General features: G+C 50.9%; 1 protein-coding gene across 10 annotated transcripts in view, besides 17 other annotated features; it reads left to right on the forward strand.

The window, feature by feature from the left end:
• Positions 228-1,031: an enhancer, noted in NCBI's record as "OCT4-NANOG-H3K4me1 hESC enhancer chr21:42731293-42732096 (GRCh37/hg19 assembly coordinates)". NCBI's record gives its function as "activates a minimal SCP1, AML or CMV promoter by ChIP-STARR-seq in naive H9 embryonic stem cells {active_cell/tissue: H9 hESC(naive)}" and the evidence as "EXISTENCE:reporter gene assay evidence [ECO:0000049][PMID:30033119]".
• Positions 2,314-2,573: an enhancer, noted in NCBI's record as "active region_18471". NCBI's record gives its function as "activates an Ori minimal core promoter by ATAC-STARR-seq in GM12878 lymphoblastoid cells {active_cell/tissue: GM12878}" and the evidence as "EXISTENCE:reporter gene assay evidence [ECO:0000049][PMID:35858748]".
• Positions 2,594-3,433: an enhancer, noted in NCBI's record as "active region_18472". NCBI's record gives its function as "activates an Ori minimal core promoter by ATAC-STARR-seq in GM12878 lymphoblastoid cells {active_cell/tissue: GM12878}" and the evidence as "EXISTENCE:reporter gene assay evidence [ECO:0000049][PMID:35858748]".
• MX2 (MX dynamin like GTPase 2) overlaps positions 2,889-14,570 on the forward strand; it is a 47,367-nt gene continuing 35,685 nt past the window's right edge. For 2 of the 10 annotated variants that reach the window (NM_002463.2, XM_011529573.3), the window contains exon 1: positions 2,889-2,917. The gene's annotated coding sequence lies outside the window, so the exon portion shown is untranslated. Of the gene's footprint in view, positions 2,918-3,878; positions 4,279-10,930; positions 11,508-13,795; positions 13,862-14,570 lie in introns of those variants that run through there. The other 8 variants (XM_005260983.6, XM_047440781.1, XM_005260984.2 and 5 more) reach the window with 6 other exon arrangements.
• Positions 5,423-5,472: a silencer, noted in NCBI's record as "silent region_13330". NCBI's record gives its function as "represses an Ori minimal core promoter by ATAC-STARR-seq in GM12878 lymphoblastoid cells {active_cell/tissue: GM12878}" and the evidence as "EXISTENCE:reporter gene assay evidence [ECO:0000049][PMID:35858748]".
• Positions 8,397-8,496: an enhancer, noted in NCBI's record as "active region_18473". NCBI's record gives its function as "activates an Ori minimal core promoter by ATAC-STARR-seq in GM12878 lymphoblastoid cells {active_cell/tissue: GM12878}" and the evidence as "EXISTENCE:reporter gene assay evidence [ECO:0000049][PMID:35858748]".
• Positions 8,548-9,049: an enhancer, noted in NCBI's record as "H3K4me1 hESC enhancer chr21:42739613-42740114 (GRCh37/hg19 assembly coordinates)". NCBI's record gives its function as "activates a minimal SCP1, AML or CMV promoter by ChIP-STARR-seq in naive H9 embryonic stem cells {active_cell/tissue: H9 hESC(naive)}" and the evidence as "EXISTENCE:reporter gene assay evidence [ECO:0000049][PMID:30033119]".
• Positions 9,217-9,266: an enhancer, noted in NCBI's record as "active region_18474". NCBI's record gives its function as "activates an Ori minimal core promoter by ATAC-STARR-seq in GM12878 lymphoblastoid cells {active_cell/tissue: GM12878}" and the evidence as "EXISTENCE:reporter gene assay evidence [ECO:0000049][PMID:35858748]".
• Positions 9,649-10,337: an enhancer, noted in NCBI's record as "H3K4me1 hESC enhancer chr21:42740714-42741402 (GRCh37/hg19 assembly coordinates)". NCBI's record gives its function as "activates a minimal SCP1, AML or CMV promoter by ChIP-STARR-seq in primed H9 embryonic stem cells {active_cell/tissue: H9 hESC(primed)}" and the evidence as "EXISTENCE:reporter gene assay evidence [ECO:0000049][PMID:30033119]".
• Positions 9,737-9,786: a silencer, noted in NCBI's record as "silent region_13331". NCBI's record gives its function as "represses an Ori minimal core promoter by ATAC-STARR-seq in GM12878 lymphoblastoid cells {active_cell/tissue: GM12878}" and the evidence as "EXISTENCE:reporter gene assay evidence [ECO:0000049][PMID:35858748]".
• Positions 10,047-10,106: an enhancer, noted in NCBI's record as "active region_18475". NCBI's record gives its function as "activates an Ori minimal core promoter by ATAC-STARR-seq in GM12878 lymphoblastoid cells {active_cell/tissue: GM12878}" and the evidence as "EXISTENCE:reporter gene assay evidence [ECO:0000049][PMID:35858748]".
• Positions 10,338-11,024: an enhancer, noted in NCBI's record as "H3K4me1 hESC enhancer chr21:42741403-42742089 (GRCh37/hg19 assembly coordinates)". NCBI's record gives its function as "activates a minimal SCP1, AML or CMV promoter by ChIP-STARR-seq in primed H9 embryonic stem cells {active_cell/tissue: H9 hESC(primed)}" and the evidence as "EXISTENCE:reporter gene assay evidence [ECO:0000049][PMID:30033119]".
• Positions 10,338-11,186: a biological region, named in NCBI's record as "H3K4me1 hESC enhancer GRCh37_chr21:42741403-42742089".
• Positions 10,899-11,043: an enhancer, noted in NCBI's record as "145 bp 21:42742036 sequence used in MPRA reporter constructs". NCBI's record gives its function as "activates a minimal TATA-containing promoter with rs398206 allelic activity by MPRAs in C283T melanocytes and UACC903 melanoma cells {active_cell/tissue: C283T | UACC903}" and the evidence as "EXISTENCE:reporter gene assay evidence [ECO:0000049][PMID:36423637]".
• Position 10,971: a transcriptional cis regulatory region, noted in NCBI's record as "rs398206 or 21:42742036 MPRA-significant variant associated with a GWAS melanoma risk locus at 21q22.3". NCBI's record gives its function as "allelic transcriptional activity by MPRAs in C283T melanocytes and UACC903 melanoma cells {active_cell/tissue: C283T | UACC903}" and the evidence as "EXISTENCE:reporter gene assay evidence [ECO:0000049][PMID:36423637]".
• Positions 10,977-11,186: an enhancer, noted in NCBI's record as "active region_18476". NCBI's record gives its function as "activates an Ori minimal core promoter by ATAC-STARR-seq in GM12878 lymphoblastoid cells {active_cell/tissue: GM12878}" and the evidence as "EXISTENCE:reporter gene assay evidence [ECO:0000049][PMID:35858748]".
• Positions 14,277-14,421: an enhancer, noted in NCBI's record as "145 bp 21:42745414 sequence used in MPRA reporter constructs". NCBI's record gives its function as "activates a minimal TATA-containing promoter with rs416981 allelic activity by MPRAs in C283T melanocytes {active_cell/tissue: C283T}" and the evidence as "EXISTENCE:reporter gene assay evidence [ECO:0000049][PMID:36423637]".
• Position 14,349: a transcriptional cis regulatory region, noted in NCBI's record as "rs416981 or 21:42745414 MPRA-significant variant associated with a GWAS melanoma risk locus at 21q22.3". NCBI's record gives its function as "allelic transcriptional activity by MPRAs in C283T melanocytes {active_cell/tissue: C283T}" and the evidence as "EXISTENCE:reporter gene assay evidence [ECO:0000049][PMID:36423637]".

Below are 14,570 nucleotides of genomic sequence, written 5' to 3' on the forward strand. Positions count from 1 at the left end.
AAGTTCTTAGGTAGGCATAGACGTTTCTGTGTATCAAAAAAGGAGGGCAGTACATTTTTATTCTGGCTGAAATTGCTATGTTTTTGTAGCTTCGTTGATCTTAGTTCACTGTCATGGAATAGGCCGCAGGGGAGCTTCTGGCCAGGCATCGCCCGGGGATCCGGCTTTGGGCTGTGAAGTTCTTGTGATGACGGCCCCTCCTACCCAGTGATGGCCCCTTGGCCCTCTGCTGCCCCTGCAGCTCACTGCTGCGTCCGCACCCGGGGCACAGGACTGTGAATTGCCATTCATTTCCACTTCCTGTTGATGTTTCCCTACAATGTGGTCTTTAGTGTGGAGATTGTCATTCCATCTCTGAAGGCACTGGGCACTGCCAGCCCCCAGCCCAGTCCCCCACCGGTGGGCACCACGCAAGGGGGCTTGCCACATCAGAGTCACATTTCCTACGCATTGTGGACCCTGCTGGTTACCCCTCACACCCGCCCCGTGACAGGGTCATGATGATTTAACCTAGTGGGGCTGGTGAGGCACAGAGAGGCTAAGGACCAAACAGCCAGTCTGGGTGCAGTGGCTCACAACCAAATTCCCAGCACTTTGGGAAGCCAAGGTGGGCAGATCACTTGAGGTCAGGAGTTCATGACCATCCTGGCCAACATGGTAAAACCCCATCCCTACTAAAAATACAAAACAAATTAGCTGGGCATGGTGGCACATGCCTATAATCCCAGCTACTTGGGAGGCTAAGGTGGGAGGATTGCTTGAACCTGGGAGGCCGAGGTTGCAGTAAGCAGAAATCTCACCACTGTACTCCAGCCTGGGCAACAGAGCGAGACTCCATCTCAAGCAAACAAAAAAGAAACAAAGAGCCAGGTCACACGGACAATGACAGGGTGGAGTTCCACTCCAAGGTGCACCCGCTGCTCCTGTGCTCTGCTGGGAGGGACACACCCCAGGTAAGAACCCTGCTTGTCTACAGCACTTCACCATTGCCTTTGTCCTGTTAATTCAGGAAAGCATTTGCTTGATCTTTCCTTCTGTGATTGGAGAGGCCATGGGAGAGTGGATGCATGCTGGCTCTGGATGGCTCCAGGTGCTGCAGGTGCTTCCAGGTGGCCAGGAACTTCATCAGCACACAGAGGCGCTGGCGCTTTCCATAGAGTCAGCGTGCCAGGGCAGGAGGCGGGCACTGGGGCTTCTGGACTTCGCCTCTTTACCAAGCTGCACACTGTAACGCTCCCTGATGTGGAGCTGAGGGAAGAGCTCCGCCCAGCGGCTGTGACCGAGGCCTGAGCAGCAGCATCTTTTCTGGCCCCGGCCCCTGTGCTTGGATGCTGCGTGGGACATTCATTCACCCTCAGGGCTTTAGTGCTCAGAACGCAAGAACCCTGTCCTTGAAGTTTGCATGCGCAGGCACCTCTGGTCCTTCCCAGGGCTGCTGGTGAGGGGCGTGCAGGAGGGGGATGCTGCCTTGACAGAGGGTGGAGGGTCCCCTGAGCTGGCCCGAGCTGCTCGTGTCCCTCTGTCCGGCTTCTCTGAGGCCTTTCTTTGTGCCTTCCTTGAAGCAGTAGGCCGGCCCAGGCCCTGTTGTGAAAGACATTCCTAGTGAAACCGAATGTCACATCACGCTGCCAAGTCTGAGATTCACATTCCTCCCCTCACTCCTCAGCCTCTGTCCGCCCGGGCTCTTGGGAAGAGAAGTGGTTCAGGGATAGGTGATCCTGACGATGATCTCCTGGTGTTAATATTTCTAATGCCAAGGTTTTGAAAAACATGTTAAGTTTCTAAATATCTTCCGTAAAGTTAAGCCTGCACTCAAGGGAAGTCACTACAATGACTTAGCCAAGAGGAGCTCAGGAGTTTTTTTAAACGTATAGTGTTGATGTCTGGGAGAGGATCACGGGTGGATAGGAGAGCTGAGAGCCTGCTTCCTCCCTCCCAGCCATCACTGCCAGTCCTTGAGAGGCTTGGTCCCCTCCCCGGTGTCTGGAGGGCTCCTCCTGGAGGTTCCCAGACCTCTTGGCTCTGGTGATGGGAATGCCTGGCCCTCCTTGACTTTGGTCACAGAGCAGGAAGCCTTAGGGAGCATGCGGTTGTGCACCTTCACTTTTGCAGGTGAAAAGTAACTGAGGACCAGAAAGATGACATGCAGCTGGCTCAGGGCTGAGTTCCGGAGCCTGGGGTTTGTCCTGGGGCCTCCTTATCTCCAATGGGAAGAAAACCGTCTTGGTTTTGCGGCGGGGACCTCAGGCACGGGTGCTTGGAGAAAGCTGTTGACCCTCCTTCTTTGGGTTTTCCGCACCTAATGAGGGGAGAGGTGACATTTGTCAGGTGCGGCTCAGGCATGAAGCTAAGCAGGACAGCTCAGAGCGTCCAGATCATGTACCTGAGAGCATGTCCTCGGCTGTAACAGGAGTGCATCTGTGAGGCCCGATACACGAACCACACGTGGCTATTCATTCAAATTACATGGAGTTCGAAGTCCAGTTCCTTGGTCGCAGTAGTCACATTTCAGAGCCACACAGGTGGTACTGGATGGCACTGTCAGGGCAGAACCTTCCAGTGACTGAGCCACTCTGAGCTGCCCCCATGCCAGCCTCCCCTGGAATCTGTTAGCAATGCTGATTCTCAGGCCCAGCCCAGACCTGACAGATCAGACTCTCTGGCGGGGGTGGGGGGACAGCCGCCCCGTCTCCACAGCTCTCCCAGGATTCGGATGCAGCTGGAGTTTGGGGACCACTCTGTGAGTCATCTGGAGAGCACGCTGATAACTCAGTTTCATTTCTGTGGCCAGATCAAGTAGTTTCATTTCTCTCCCTGTTTGTTGATGACGGAGCAGGGGAGGGAGTGGTTCATATGCCACATAAAAGTGAAGTGGAGGAAAGGGAAGAGATGATTTCTCCATCCTGAACGTGCAGCGGTAAGAGCGGGGCCGGTGCAGGGAGGGCTGCTTTGTGTCTGATGCACAGCAGATGCGTGTTTAAAAAATATTTCCTGAGTAACGTGACATCTGCTTGGTGAATGTGGCTTGTGCTGGGAGGCAGGAGCCACAAAGATAAGATTCTGGTGTGAGGAGCAGAAAGGGCCCATGTTGCCACCAGCCCACAGTAGCCTTGTGCACAGACAAAGAGGCTCTGGAGGGGAAGTGGCTGGCCCTGGGGACAGGGTGGCCTCCATCCTGATCTGGCCAAAAGTCGGGTGGACGCAAAGGGGTGGTTTTTAGGACAGCTTTGCTCAGCGTCCTACAAAGTCTGGGGGTTGAGTAAGGAGCTTTGTGCCCGAAAAGTCGTCTCGGAGGGTTTCAAGTGTTCCTTCTTTTGTGGTATTTGTGATGCTCTGACGTAACCTTAGTGACGGTGATATGCTGGGAAATTGGCTCTCATGGGGCGGGGCAGGGCAGAGGGTGGTGCCTGATTTCTAGCCTTTGCCGATTCTCTTCCGTTCTCATGGTGTGAATGCTCCCACCGTGGCCAGTTCCCAGCCAGTAGGGGCCAACTCCAGCACTCTGGACCACTGCACCCTGGATCGCCTGCACTCTGGGGGCTGAAGTCCATTTTATAATTGATATAGAGCGGAAAGGAGACATGGTGGTATTGATGACGCAGTTTTTTTTTCTTTTTTTTTTTTTTTTTTTTTTTTTTGAGAGAAGTTCTCGTTCTGTTCCCCAGGCTGGAGTGCAGTGGCGTGATCATGGCTCACTGCAGTCTCAAGCTCCCGGGCTCAAGGGATCCTCCCACCTCAGCCTCCCAAGTAGCTGGGACTACAGGTGTGCACCACCACACCTGGTTAATTTTATTTCTTTTTGTAGAGACAGGGGCTCTCTATGTTGCCCAGGCTGGTCTCAAACTCACTGGCTCAAGAAGTCCTTACGCCTCAACCTCCCAAAGCACTGGGATTACAGGCGTAAGCCACCCCATTCGGCTTTGATGACACCTTTTGAACACTGTTCTTTCTCATTTTGTGTTTAGAATGTTGTCTCTAGCTGTTTAAAAAGATCAGGATTCCAAGCTATCTTTCCTCGCACCCTCTCCTCCGTTTACTCTGCTCTACTTCCCAGCCCCGCGCCAACCCCTGAAGCACTTTTGACTCCCTTCGGATGTACAATTTTTTTTTCTTTTTCTTTTTTGAGACAGGGTCTTCCTGCTCTGTTTCCCAGGCTGGAGTGCAATGGTACCATCATAGCTCACTGCAGCCTTAAACTTCCGGGCTCAAGTGATCCTCCTGCCTCGGCCTCCCAATGCATTGGGATTACAGGTGTGAGTCCCTGCGTCTGGCCAGGATGTATGTGAGCTTTATTTAGGTTTAGCCCCTGCCCTAGAATGCAAGCTCCCCCAGAGATCTTTGTCTGCCTGACTCGATATGTATCTCAAGGACTTAGTGCTCAATATATATCTTTGAGTGGGTGAAAAACAAGCGGTCTTAAAAAGAAAGGAGGTGAGCCCGGGGAGATAAGGTCGCATTCAGTGCCAGTGCTTGGTCAGCCATGACCCTGCACCATGCGAGTGACATTGGGACTGGAGCAAAGGGACACAGCAGAGTGGCCCCTGGTGCCCAGGACCCGGCAGAGCTCTCGGACTGGTTGCAAGCCAGCAATAGTGGCTATGCCCGTGTGGGAGACGCAGCTTGCCTTAGACTTCAGCGGGAACCACCATGTCCGGCACAGCCATTTCCATCCTTCCCAGGGGTGCTTACGTGATCCTGGCAGTCTCAGTCAAACTTCCAAACTCAGCAGGGAATGTGTGTGCTTGTCCTCCAATCTCAACACCCTGGGATGCAGTGTCAGGTGCAGGTCAGAGACAGCAGTGGAGACCCGATTCCCAGCCCTGGGCTGGGGCCCCCACAAGGCCTCCAGCATCTCCCCATGGCCCAGTTTCCTCATCTGCAGGACAGGCTCTCTTGAGAATTTGGGGGGATGATAGACCCAAAAGCATTCTGGAGCCAGAGGCTTCTGCCTTCGTCGGGGGCATCAGGGAGTGTCAGTCATGAATTCACCATGACTTCTGACCACCTCTGCCTGGACTCCCTCACCTCAGTGCTGCCTAAGCTGGGTAACCACCAGCTTCCTGGGCCTTCACCCCGCAGGGCCTTCCTCTCCAGTGATGCGCCTGGAAAGAGGGATTTCTCTTTGCAAAGGTCTCTGGAATTGCCAAGTTATGGCTTTAAGCATATGTAGGGAAACTCCCTCCCCTTTGCACTTTTGGAGTTTTTTTCCAGCCCTCAATAGAAATCAATACAGTGACCAGGCTGCCCTTTTCACCACACTCTCAGGCTCCTGAGGACCCTGGTGGAAGATGGACTAAGCACATCCTGGGCATCGGGGACAGGCACCGGCTCCTCAAGCGTGGACAGGGACAGGGATGGGGCGGGGCAGCGCTGCAGGAGGTGGGGCCTGGGCTGATTTTCTTGCTGTACTACTTTCAGTCACTACGTACCTGTTATGGGTTGAACTAGGCTCCCTGTATTAGTCAGAGTTCTCTAGAGGGACAGAACTAATGGAATATAAAAAAATAAATATATACATATATATGGAAGTTTACTAAGTATGAATTTACAGGATCACAAGGTCCACAATAAGCAATCTGCAGCCTGAGGAGCAAGGGGAGCCAGTGTGAGTCCCAAAACCTGAAGAACTTGGAGTCCAATGTTCGAGGGCAGGAAGCATCCAGCACAGGAGAAAGCTGTAGGCTGGGAGGCTAAACCAGTCTCTCTTTTCACATTTTTCAGCCTGCTTTATATTCTAGCTTTGCTGACAGCTGATTAGATGGTGCCCACCTAGACTGAAGGTGGATCTGCCTTTCCAAGCCACTGACTCAAATGTTAATCTCCTTTGGCAACACCTCACAGACACACCCAGGATCAGTACTTTGCATCCTTCAACCCAATCAAGTTGACACTCAGTATTAACCATCACACCCCTCAAATGTATATGTTCAAATCCTAACCTCAGAACCTCTGAATGTGACCTTAGTTGGAAATAGGGTCTTTGCAGATGTAATTAAAGACGAGGTTGTTTTCCAGTAGGGTGGGCCCTAATCCAATATGACTGGTATCCTTATAAAACAGGAAAATTTGTTTGTTTGTTTGTTTGTTTGTTTGTTTAACTTCTATTTTAGGTTCAGGGGTCCATGTGCAGGTTTGTTACATGGGTAGATTGTGTCATGGGAGTTTAGTGCACACATTATTTCATCACTCGGGTAATAAGCGTAGTAGCCAATGGATAGCTTTTTGCTCCTCTCCTTCCTCCCACCCTCTACCCTTGAGTAGGCTCAGGTGTCTCTTGTTCTCTTCTTTGTGGCCATGTGTGTTTAATGTTTAGCTCCCACTAATAATTGAGAACATGTGGTATTTGGTTTTCTGTTACTAGATTAGTTTGCTTAGGATTATGGCCTCCAGTTCCATCCATGTTCCTGCAAAGGACATGATCTCATTCTTTTTGATGGTTGCATAGTATTCCATAGTGTATATGTACCACGCTTTTTTATCCAGTCTACCATTGATGGCCATTTAGGTTGATTCTATGTCTTTGCTATTGTAACGGTGCTGCCATGAACATTCGTCTGCATGTGTCTTTGCGGTAGAATGATTTCTATTCCTTTGGGTACATACGCTGTAATGGGATTGCTGGGTCGAATGGTAATCCTGTTTAAGTTCTTTGAGGAGTCACCAGACTGCTTTCCACATGGCTGAACTAATTCGCACTCCCACCAGCAGTGCAGAAGTGTTCCCCAAAAGGGGACATTTGGACACAGACACGCAGAAGCCCACTCCTGCCTCCTCACTCAGCCTGGATTTGTCTCAGTCGCCCTCGCTTGCCTCTCACACGTGTGCACCCTCACACTGCTTCAGCATCTGCCGGTCCTCCGGCCTTTGCTCTTAGAGCAGAGATTCTCAACCTTTCTCCATTTGGGCTTCCCTGAGTGGTTCCGTAGTTCATTTATGGTGCCCGCCACCCAAAATAAATTCCTGGCAGTTCTATTTACTAATTAGGTAGGTCCAAACAACTCAGTAATAGTAGGCTGGGTGGTGTCCAACAGCTGCCTTCGTGTATCACTGGGAAATCTTAAAGATCCCACAGTGGCCTGTGAGTTTGCTGAAATACCCCAGGTGCACAGTTTGGGGAACATAGTCTTATAGATTTGATGAATTCCCTTTTTGCACCTGTATATCACTCACGGGGCTGATCTATGACTGGTGTGCTAGTCCATTTGTGTCACGATAGAGGTAAACCTGAGACTGAGTAACTTACAAAGAAAAGAGGTTTAGCCGGGCACAGTGGCTCACGCCTGTAATCCCAACACTTTGGGAGGCCAAGTCGGGTGGATCACCTGAGGTCAGGAGTTGGAGACCAGCCTGACCAACATGGAGAAACCTCATCTCTACTAAAAATACAAGATTAGCTGGGCGTGGTGGTGCATGCTTGTAATCCCAGCTACTAGGGCAGGCAGAGGTCCTTCTCAGATGCTTTGGGTCCTGCCATTGAAAGGGAAGAAGAGAAGTCCCTTCCCTGGGAGAGCCTCAGTGATCCCTGCACAAGACCAGCCGTCTTCCTCCGCCCCATATTGTTCAGCCCTGGCACCCTGTGTTGTGCGTGGAGTCCCTTGTTTTCCTCTATCTTATCAGGAACCAGTTCTAGGTTCCTAACCTGGTCTGACCCCGGCACCCTGTCCTGTTACACAAGAAACCCGGATGCTGATATATATATGTCCCAACATTGCCCTTCCAGAGCCTCTCCAGCTGTGACTCACTGTTGACATGGCAACCCCCACCCCCTGGACTCCTCGCTCAACCCACAAAGACTATCTCTTGCGTACTCTGCTCTGAGGTGTTTTAAAAAGCGCCACCATAAACCTGTAACACAAGAATGAAACCCAGCAAGAATCAGGGGACAGGAACCAAGGAACATGACATCACGTGAGAACTAAGGGCCGCTCTGATTGACCATAGCATTTGGCTCTCAGCCTCCCACGGCCAAGGCTAAGGGAGGATAGGACAATTGTCTCTCTCACTCTTGAACAAGAGGGAGCTCCTGGATTCACCGGGAGAGTAAATTTGACTAGCTTGGACTTCTGCAAGGTAATTTGTTGTGACTGCATATTAAGGAGACTAATCTTAACATAATCTTAACATAATTTCTTTATATTAAGGAGATTAAATAAATCCATGGATATGTTCTTGAGTGAAATTTTTTTTTTTTTAAAGCAGAGACCTTTTCCACGGGATCACATTTTCTTTTGACACTCCTGGGAGGCAGGCAGGACCATGTTAAGTGGCTGTTTTTCAGTGAATGATTCTACGGGGAAACCTGAATAAGATGGTAATGTTATAGGAAAGTGTCTGATGCAGAACCCGGCAATGGCTAAAACTGGAAGATGCAAAGCAGCCTGCTAGTGTGGGAGCTGCAATAAACCAAATCCCTTTTTTTTCTCAGTCAGAAGGAGGGACTTTCCAAGCTTGATCCTCTAAGAAAAAAGGATCCCCTCCTATTTTCTTACCGATTTTCAATTCATCCAGAATGCATGCTTCTTAGTCTTCAGACTCCTGGCCTGGTCACCGCTTGAAAATATTTGGCAGCCCCCTGGTTTAACAGCAGCCTCGAAGTTGACAGCAACTCCAAATCCTGCGGCTCAGCAGTACAGAGCCAGCTGGCCTCACCTCTCCTCTGGGTCCACTGCATCTTATCAAGGCCTTGCTGTCCTTCCTTGGATCCGTCACCCCCGACCTGGCCCTCAGTAGCTCCCTCCTGGATTCTGACCTCACCCTGTTCCTCATCTTTGTCTTAACTCTTAACTTGGCTGTCTGCTGCACCCTGACAGCCACCTTGTCTTCTCTTTTCTCCTCTTCTCTCACCAGCTGTCTTCTTGGTTTTTCAGTTCCCCTCTCTCAAGACCTGCACTTTCTCTTCAAGTCAAGGTCCACAGCTCCCATGCTCTGCATTTATACTGGGCTGCGGAAGCTCCCACGTGGGGACCAAGCCCTGGAGAGGAACCCACAGTGCAGCGGCTCCTGAAAGCAGAGGCCTGCACCCCTAAGCCTCTTAAGCCCCCCACTTTCATTCCCTCCTGCCTCTGTGCATAGCCCAAGTCCCACCTGTCCATGTGTCACCCGGCTCTTCCGTGTCGTCTCCGTGAGCCTGCAGGGGCACCCAGCCAGCCGACAGGCTCCCGAGACAGTCCACTCACACAGACACACTGTAGCCATTTCTGAAGATTGTGCAGGGGAGACAGATGGTTCACCAGGCACACACCAGACAACCCGAAACCTACATTCCTTACTCAACAGGCCCGTGTCAGAAAATCCTCCCTAAACTGCAATGGGGAGGGGGACTGAGGGAATTCTCATCCCCTACATGTCACCCCACGGCTCACTCCTGCCTCCGACCTTCACACATGTTCACCCCTGCAACTTTTCACCCCTTTATTTTGCAGAGCAATCTGTGCCCAGCTCCTGTCCTCTCAAACTTAATCAGCTCATGATACGCTTAGCAAGACCTGCCCTTCATGAAAATGAGGGTGAGGGTGAGGGTGGCGACAGTTTTAAATATGTTTTAAAAGGAACATGAAATGAAGAATATTGGGCTTCACAAAAGGAACCCTCCTTTCCCTTGTTCTTTCTTCCCATGGAGAGGAAGAAGTTGAGGCTGAGTTATCACCTCCCATCAGCACTCGGTTTTGTTCCTGGACCCCTGACTTCGTCACCAAGGGCAGCTGGCTCCAGCTCTCAGCCTTTGAAGGATATTGTGGCTAGGGGTTCAGAGTCCCAGGCTCCCTCCCAGACAGATGGGTGGAGTGAGGCCACCTGAGATCTCACTTGCTAGGGTGGGTGCCACCAGGCCCACCGAGCTGCTGGGTCCTGGCCAAGCCCTCCTGTACCCCCTGAGAAAGTCTCCGTAGGGCTAGGAGCTGTTTGTGCCAACTTTAGATGGACTCATCTCTCAGTGATCCCATAAAATTGCTGCCTAGCCCTTCTGGTTTCAAGGATTTCACATCAGAAAACGTTTTACGAACCCAGGGCTAGTTCTGAAAACAGGAAGTGCTTTCAGCCCCCATGGGAGGAGGGGGGTGCAGGAGGCCTGTGGACCTGGACCTCTGGGAGCCAGGCTGGAGAACAGGAGCTGAAGGCTGAGCGGCGGCGGGGCCATTCACACAACCATGGTCTTTCCTCCCAGTGAGGAGGGACCCCAGGTGGGGCTGCTGAGCTCAGGAGCCGCTGGCTCTGCTGGAAGATCCGCCCCTCTGAGGCTGCGCGGGGAGGATGCAAGACTGGGCAAGAGCTCATTAGGAAACGCTGAGACAGAGGGTCCTAGTGAAGATTCCACTGCAGAGAGGGCAGTCCAGGTCATCACAGGGTGACATCTGGGGATGAGGCTGGCCGGGGCACGGGGCAGGTTTTTGAGCCCGGCAGTGTAAGCAGTCTCTGTCCCAAGGGAGGAAAGCCGCTGAGAGCTGCTGGGCCAGCAGGTGGGAGTGCTGGGCTGGCCTCAGGGTTTCTGGAAGGGGTATTCCCGAGAAGTGAGGTGCTGCTCTGGGACTCTGGTGCCCCTGGGGCCTTCCTGCAGGGCGCTCTCAGCAGCCACCTTCGGTAGAAGCCAGGGCCACCCTGCATGGGGGATGATGCCGCATCCAGCACAGAGCCTTGCGATCAGTCACTCTCCTCCCTCCACAATAGCGGGGACCTCCCTGCCCGCCGCACCCCTGCCCCCCGCCCCCGCCCCCGCTCCCGCCCCGCCGTGGCTGTGCAGCAAGCAGGGGACAGTCCCATCAGCAAAGTCGGGGAACTTCCAGGAAGCCCGCGTCCCCCTCAGCCTGCCTTTAGCCAGAAAAGATTCCAAGCTCTGCTCTCTACTTTGGAAAGCCAGTGTTTGCATGTGGAGATTGTTTTGCTAGACTCGACGAGGGTAGCAAAGCAACAGGAAGTGTTCCCCAGAGCTCCGCCCACGACTTGCGTGGCCCAAAGCTGGATGGTCGTCCGTCCCACCATGGCGGGTGGGTAAAGGTTCTTTTCCTGGGCTGTGTCATTCCACCCAGAGCAAGGGATAAGCCTGTGATAGCCGTAAATCCGGAACCACTACCAAGGTGAAAGACCTTCAAGTTAATTGTTGGAACCTGCGGCTCTAACACTTCCAGCAAAGCTACTTCTGTGAAAGCTGTGACGAGCAGAGGAAATGGGACAGGAGAGGAGCTGAATCCTGAGATTGTATCGCTAGGAGCCCCCAAAGTACGATGACGGTCCTCGGGCCAGCATGGGGGTGCATTGGCACCATGTAAGGAAAGGGGCCCTCCCGTGGCACCGTTGGAGTGGGGCGGTGTGGGGTTGTTCGGAGAGAAAAGTTTCCCATGAGCTCTGTTTCAGCAAACGGCGATGACCACTTCCGTGGCAACTAAACAGTCTTGCCTTCCTGCACGTGGACATTTTTCTTCATGCATATTTCTCTTGCAAATGGTTCTATTGTTTGTATAACAGTATTTCATGAGCGGAGAAGAGTTGGAAGCAAAAATCTGTTCATGAGAAATGTAAGTATGTGGTAACATTGCCTTCAGTGAAATTGAGAGCAGATCTAAAGGGATGTGAAAAGCATCAGGGTGCTCATATAGGAGGCAGGATCATTTCCCCCAGACCGCGGCCATGCGGGTTGTGTTTTATGGTAGGAGTGATTATGGCAGCCTATGTGTGTCTGGGCATAAGAATACTTATTCTATGGATCTTAAGGTAATTATGTGTTGGAATTATGTGTTGGAAAATGTATGGCGTGGAATTCAGTAGGGGAATGCTCACGATTTGTGTGGTTCCTGGAGTTGGAAATGGGTGGCAGATCCAGCAAGAGGCAAGATTTCCAAATGGACTGCTGAGTCATTCTTAGGGTGGGCTAGGAGAAAATGTGTTTTGGTCTGAAGGAGGGAGGAAGAAGACAAAAACAAGTAAATTAGAAAACGTGGTTGCAGGATTGAAATCTGATCCTGAAAAAGAGAGAATAGCCATGAGTATAATGTTTAAAAATACACACAAAGAAATCCACTGTGGTGGGAGTCACAAGAAGTTCAATCATTATCTGGTCTCGTCATCTCGAGTGAAGCTGTCCACTCCCAAAGCCGACTGCTTGGTCCATAGCTCTTAGTTTTTGCATCTGGAGGCTTTTGTGGTTAGTGTTGGTTTGAGGTCATTTGAGCTGATCCATTGGTCTGGGTTTGTTGCCTGTTTCTACTGACTCTTGAGTACTTGGGTCAACACCTTGGATCTTGACTGCCCTGGCATTTGCTAGGAGGACCTGAAATGGCTCCTTCCAAAGAGGTCTGAAAAGTTTTTGCCTTGAGGTCTCTTCCAGCGGACCCACACCAGGCTGGAGGTCAGAAAAGTCTGGCCGGCATTTCCTCTGGCTGGCATTTCCTTTGGGCACGAGACTTGGTGTGTGAGGCTAATCCTTGACAATGCTTAACTGCGTACATGAAATGGAGCAGAGCCAGGCCTTGCTGGAGTTACTCCTGGTCATGTACAGCATCTGGTTATGATCTCATGGGGTGCTGGACTAAGTGAGCACTCAGAGACGGTCACGCCAATAGCCTATTATATCCTCGACCTAGGAGTTAAGGAGTAATCTTCTGCTTACTCCTTAAGCAGCTCCTTAAGGAGCTGAGGCAGATAAATTGGGTGTGGCAAGCGGGGTGTCTGCCAGGCCCAGGAGCCCCGGCTGTCACCAGTGCATGATGTGACTTTGGGTGAGCCACATCTTCTGCTTACAGATAGAGGCCAAGACCGCACGGCCAATAAAGCTGGTGGCAAAACTCAAAGCCCAGAGAGATGGAGGGTTTTTTATAGTTAGGGAATTTCAGCTTCAGTGTGTGATTGATTTTGTATTTTGCGAACACCGAGGGTGATTCAGACAGTGAAGTGTCTGTGTTAGAAGAAGGACCCTCCAGGACAGTAAGTCTATAATCTTTTGATAGGAAGATAGGTATTGTCCATGCTGAGAATAGAAAGTCTAGCAAGAGGTAGACTTGCTATCATGAACCCATGGCTCTGAATCCTGTCTCACCTTTACAGTCTTGCCTGGGTTATATTGGTTGCAGATGAGATAGGACTCTACCACTTCCTGGGCCAATTCCAGAAAATTTCCTGACCAATATGCATTGCATGTAAAACTTAATTTACCTTTTCCATGATGCAAACAATTATGGAGTAATTTAGCTAGGAAGGCTCATGGCACTCAAGGACAGGTGTTCTGAGATGACCAGATTCCATCTTTATTAAGAAACTATTTTTGAGATTGCCAATATTACTTGTCAGAAGTTTGCATCGATTATTATGAGTCAATTATAAATGGATCCAATTTTCTTTCTGAAAGTTTGGTGGATAGATGTCAGTTACTATTTTAGAACTCTTAATATAGTATTTAAAGCTATTTTTTTTTAACATGAAGTCAGTAAGGACATCGCCCTTGACTTCTGGCATGGCTTCTCAACTAAAAGCTTCTACTTTAGTATCTCATACCTCCTTTGGATATTGGGTAGCTTCTAATAAGTTACTGATCCCTTACTCATTTTTGATGTGAACAATCACAGATATCATAAATCCTCTGTGCTTCCGTAGCATCCCCAAATCATAAGCAGCTCCAAATGCCCATCTTATCTATTCTTGGTATAAATGCTTACTGTTTTATCTCTTAAAATAATGTGACTTGAAGTCAGGACTACAGCTTAGCCACTGGGAAATAGCTCACATGAAGAGATAGAACATTTTGATGGGTGCATGGCAGTTTCCTACGCAGGAAATGCTTTCGCCATTTTTATTGTTTTTTCCTCCACAGCCTTTATTAAGCTCCTACTGTATGCCAGGTACTTTGGGCTGCAGGTACAGCTGTGAAAAAAAACAGGTAAAAATCCCTGCCCCCCTGGGGCCTTATTGCAGCTGGGGAGACAGGAAACAGGCAGAATCCATCAGGAAAGATATCGTGCAGATGGTGGGAATGCAGCTTTTGACTGTTGCCTCCCCCATCAGATCCTTAGCACCAAAAAAGGTGGCAGTGTCTCCCGGCTGGGTGTCCAGAGCCTGGCACACAGCAGGCACTCAATGAATGTTTACAGAGTGGATGAAGACTCACATTGACTCAGGAACTGCAGCTCAGAGAGAGCAAGGAACCCAACCAGGGGAGCCATGGAGCTGAGGCAGATAAATTGGGTGTGGCAAGGGGGGTGTCTGCCAGGCCCAGGAGCCCCGGCTGTCACCAATGCATGATGTGACTTTGGGTGAGCCACACCCTCTCTGTGCCTTGTTGGGAGTAGGCACTGGAGAGCAGGGGTGGGAGCGGTCATTAGGATGAGGTGTCCTGGAAGCCCACCCCTGCCAGGGCCCTCCAGGCTGCAGGCAGTCTCCAGCCCGAGGCCCTTTGGAGTTGTGTGGCTCCCCCTCCAGCTGCTCTGTCCACAGATCTTCCTGCTCTCCCCAACTCCCCTCTGCCCTTCAGCCCCACAGCCAGCCATTAGCTGACTTGTTGACCATGACTTCAAAGCATCCAGAATCCAGTCGGCTCTCACCACCCTCTTTGCCATTGTTTCCAAAAGGGTGTTGCCCCTGGGTTTGTC

This window comes from Homo sapiens, chromosome 21 (genome assembly GCF_000001405.40).
Source record: "Homo sapiens chromosome 21, GRCh38.p14 Primary Assembly".
NCBI lineage: Eukaryota > Metazoa > Chordata > Mammalia > Primates > Hominidae > Homo > Homo sapiens.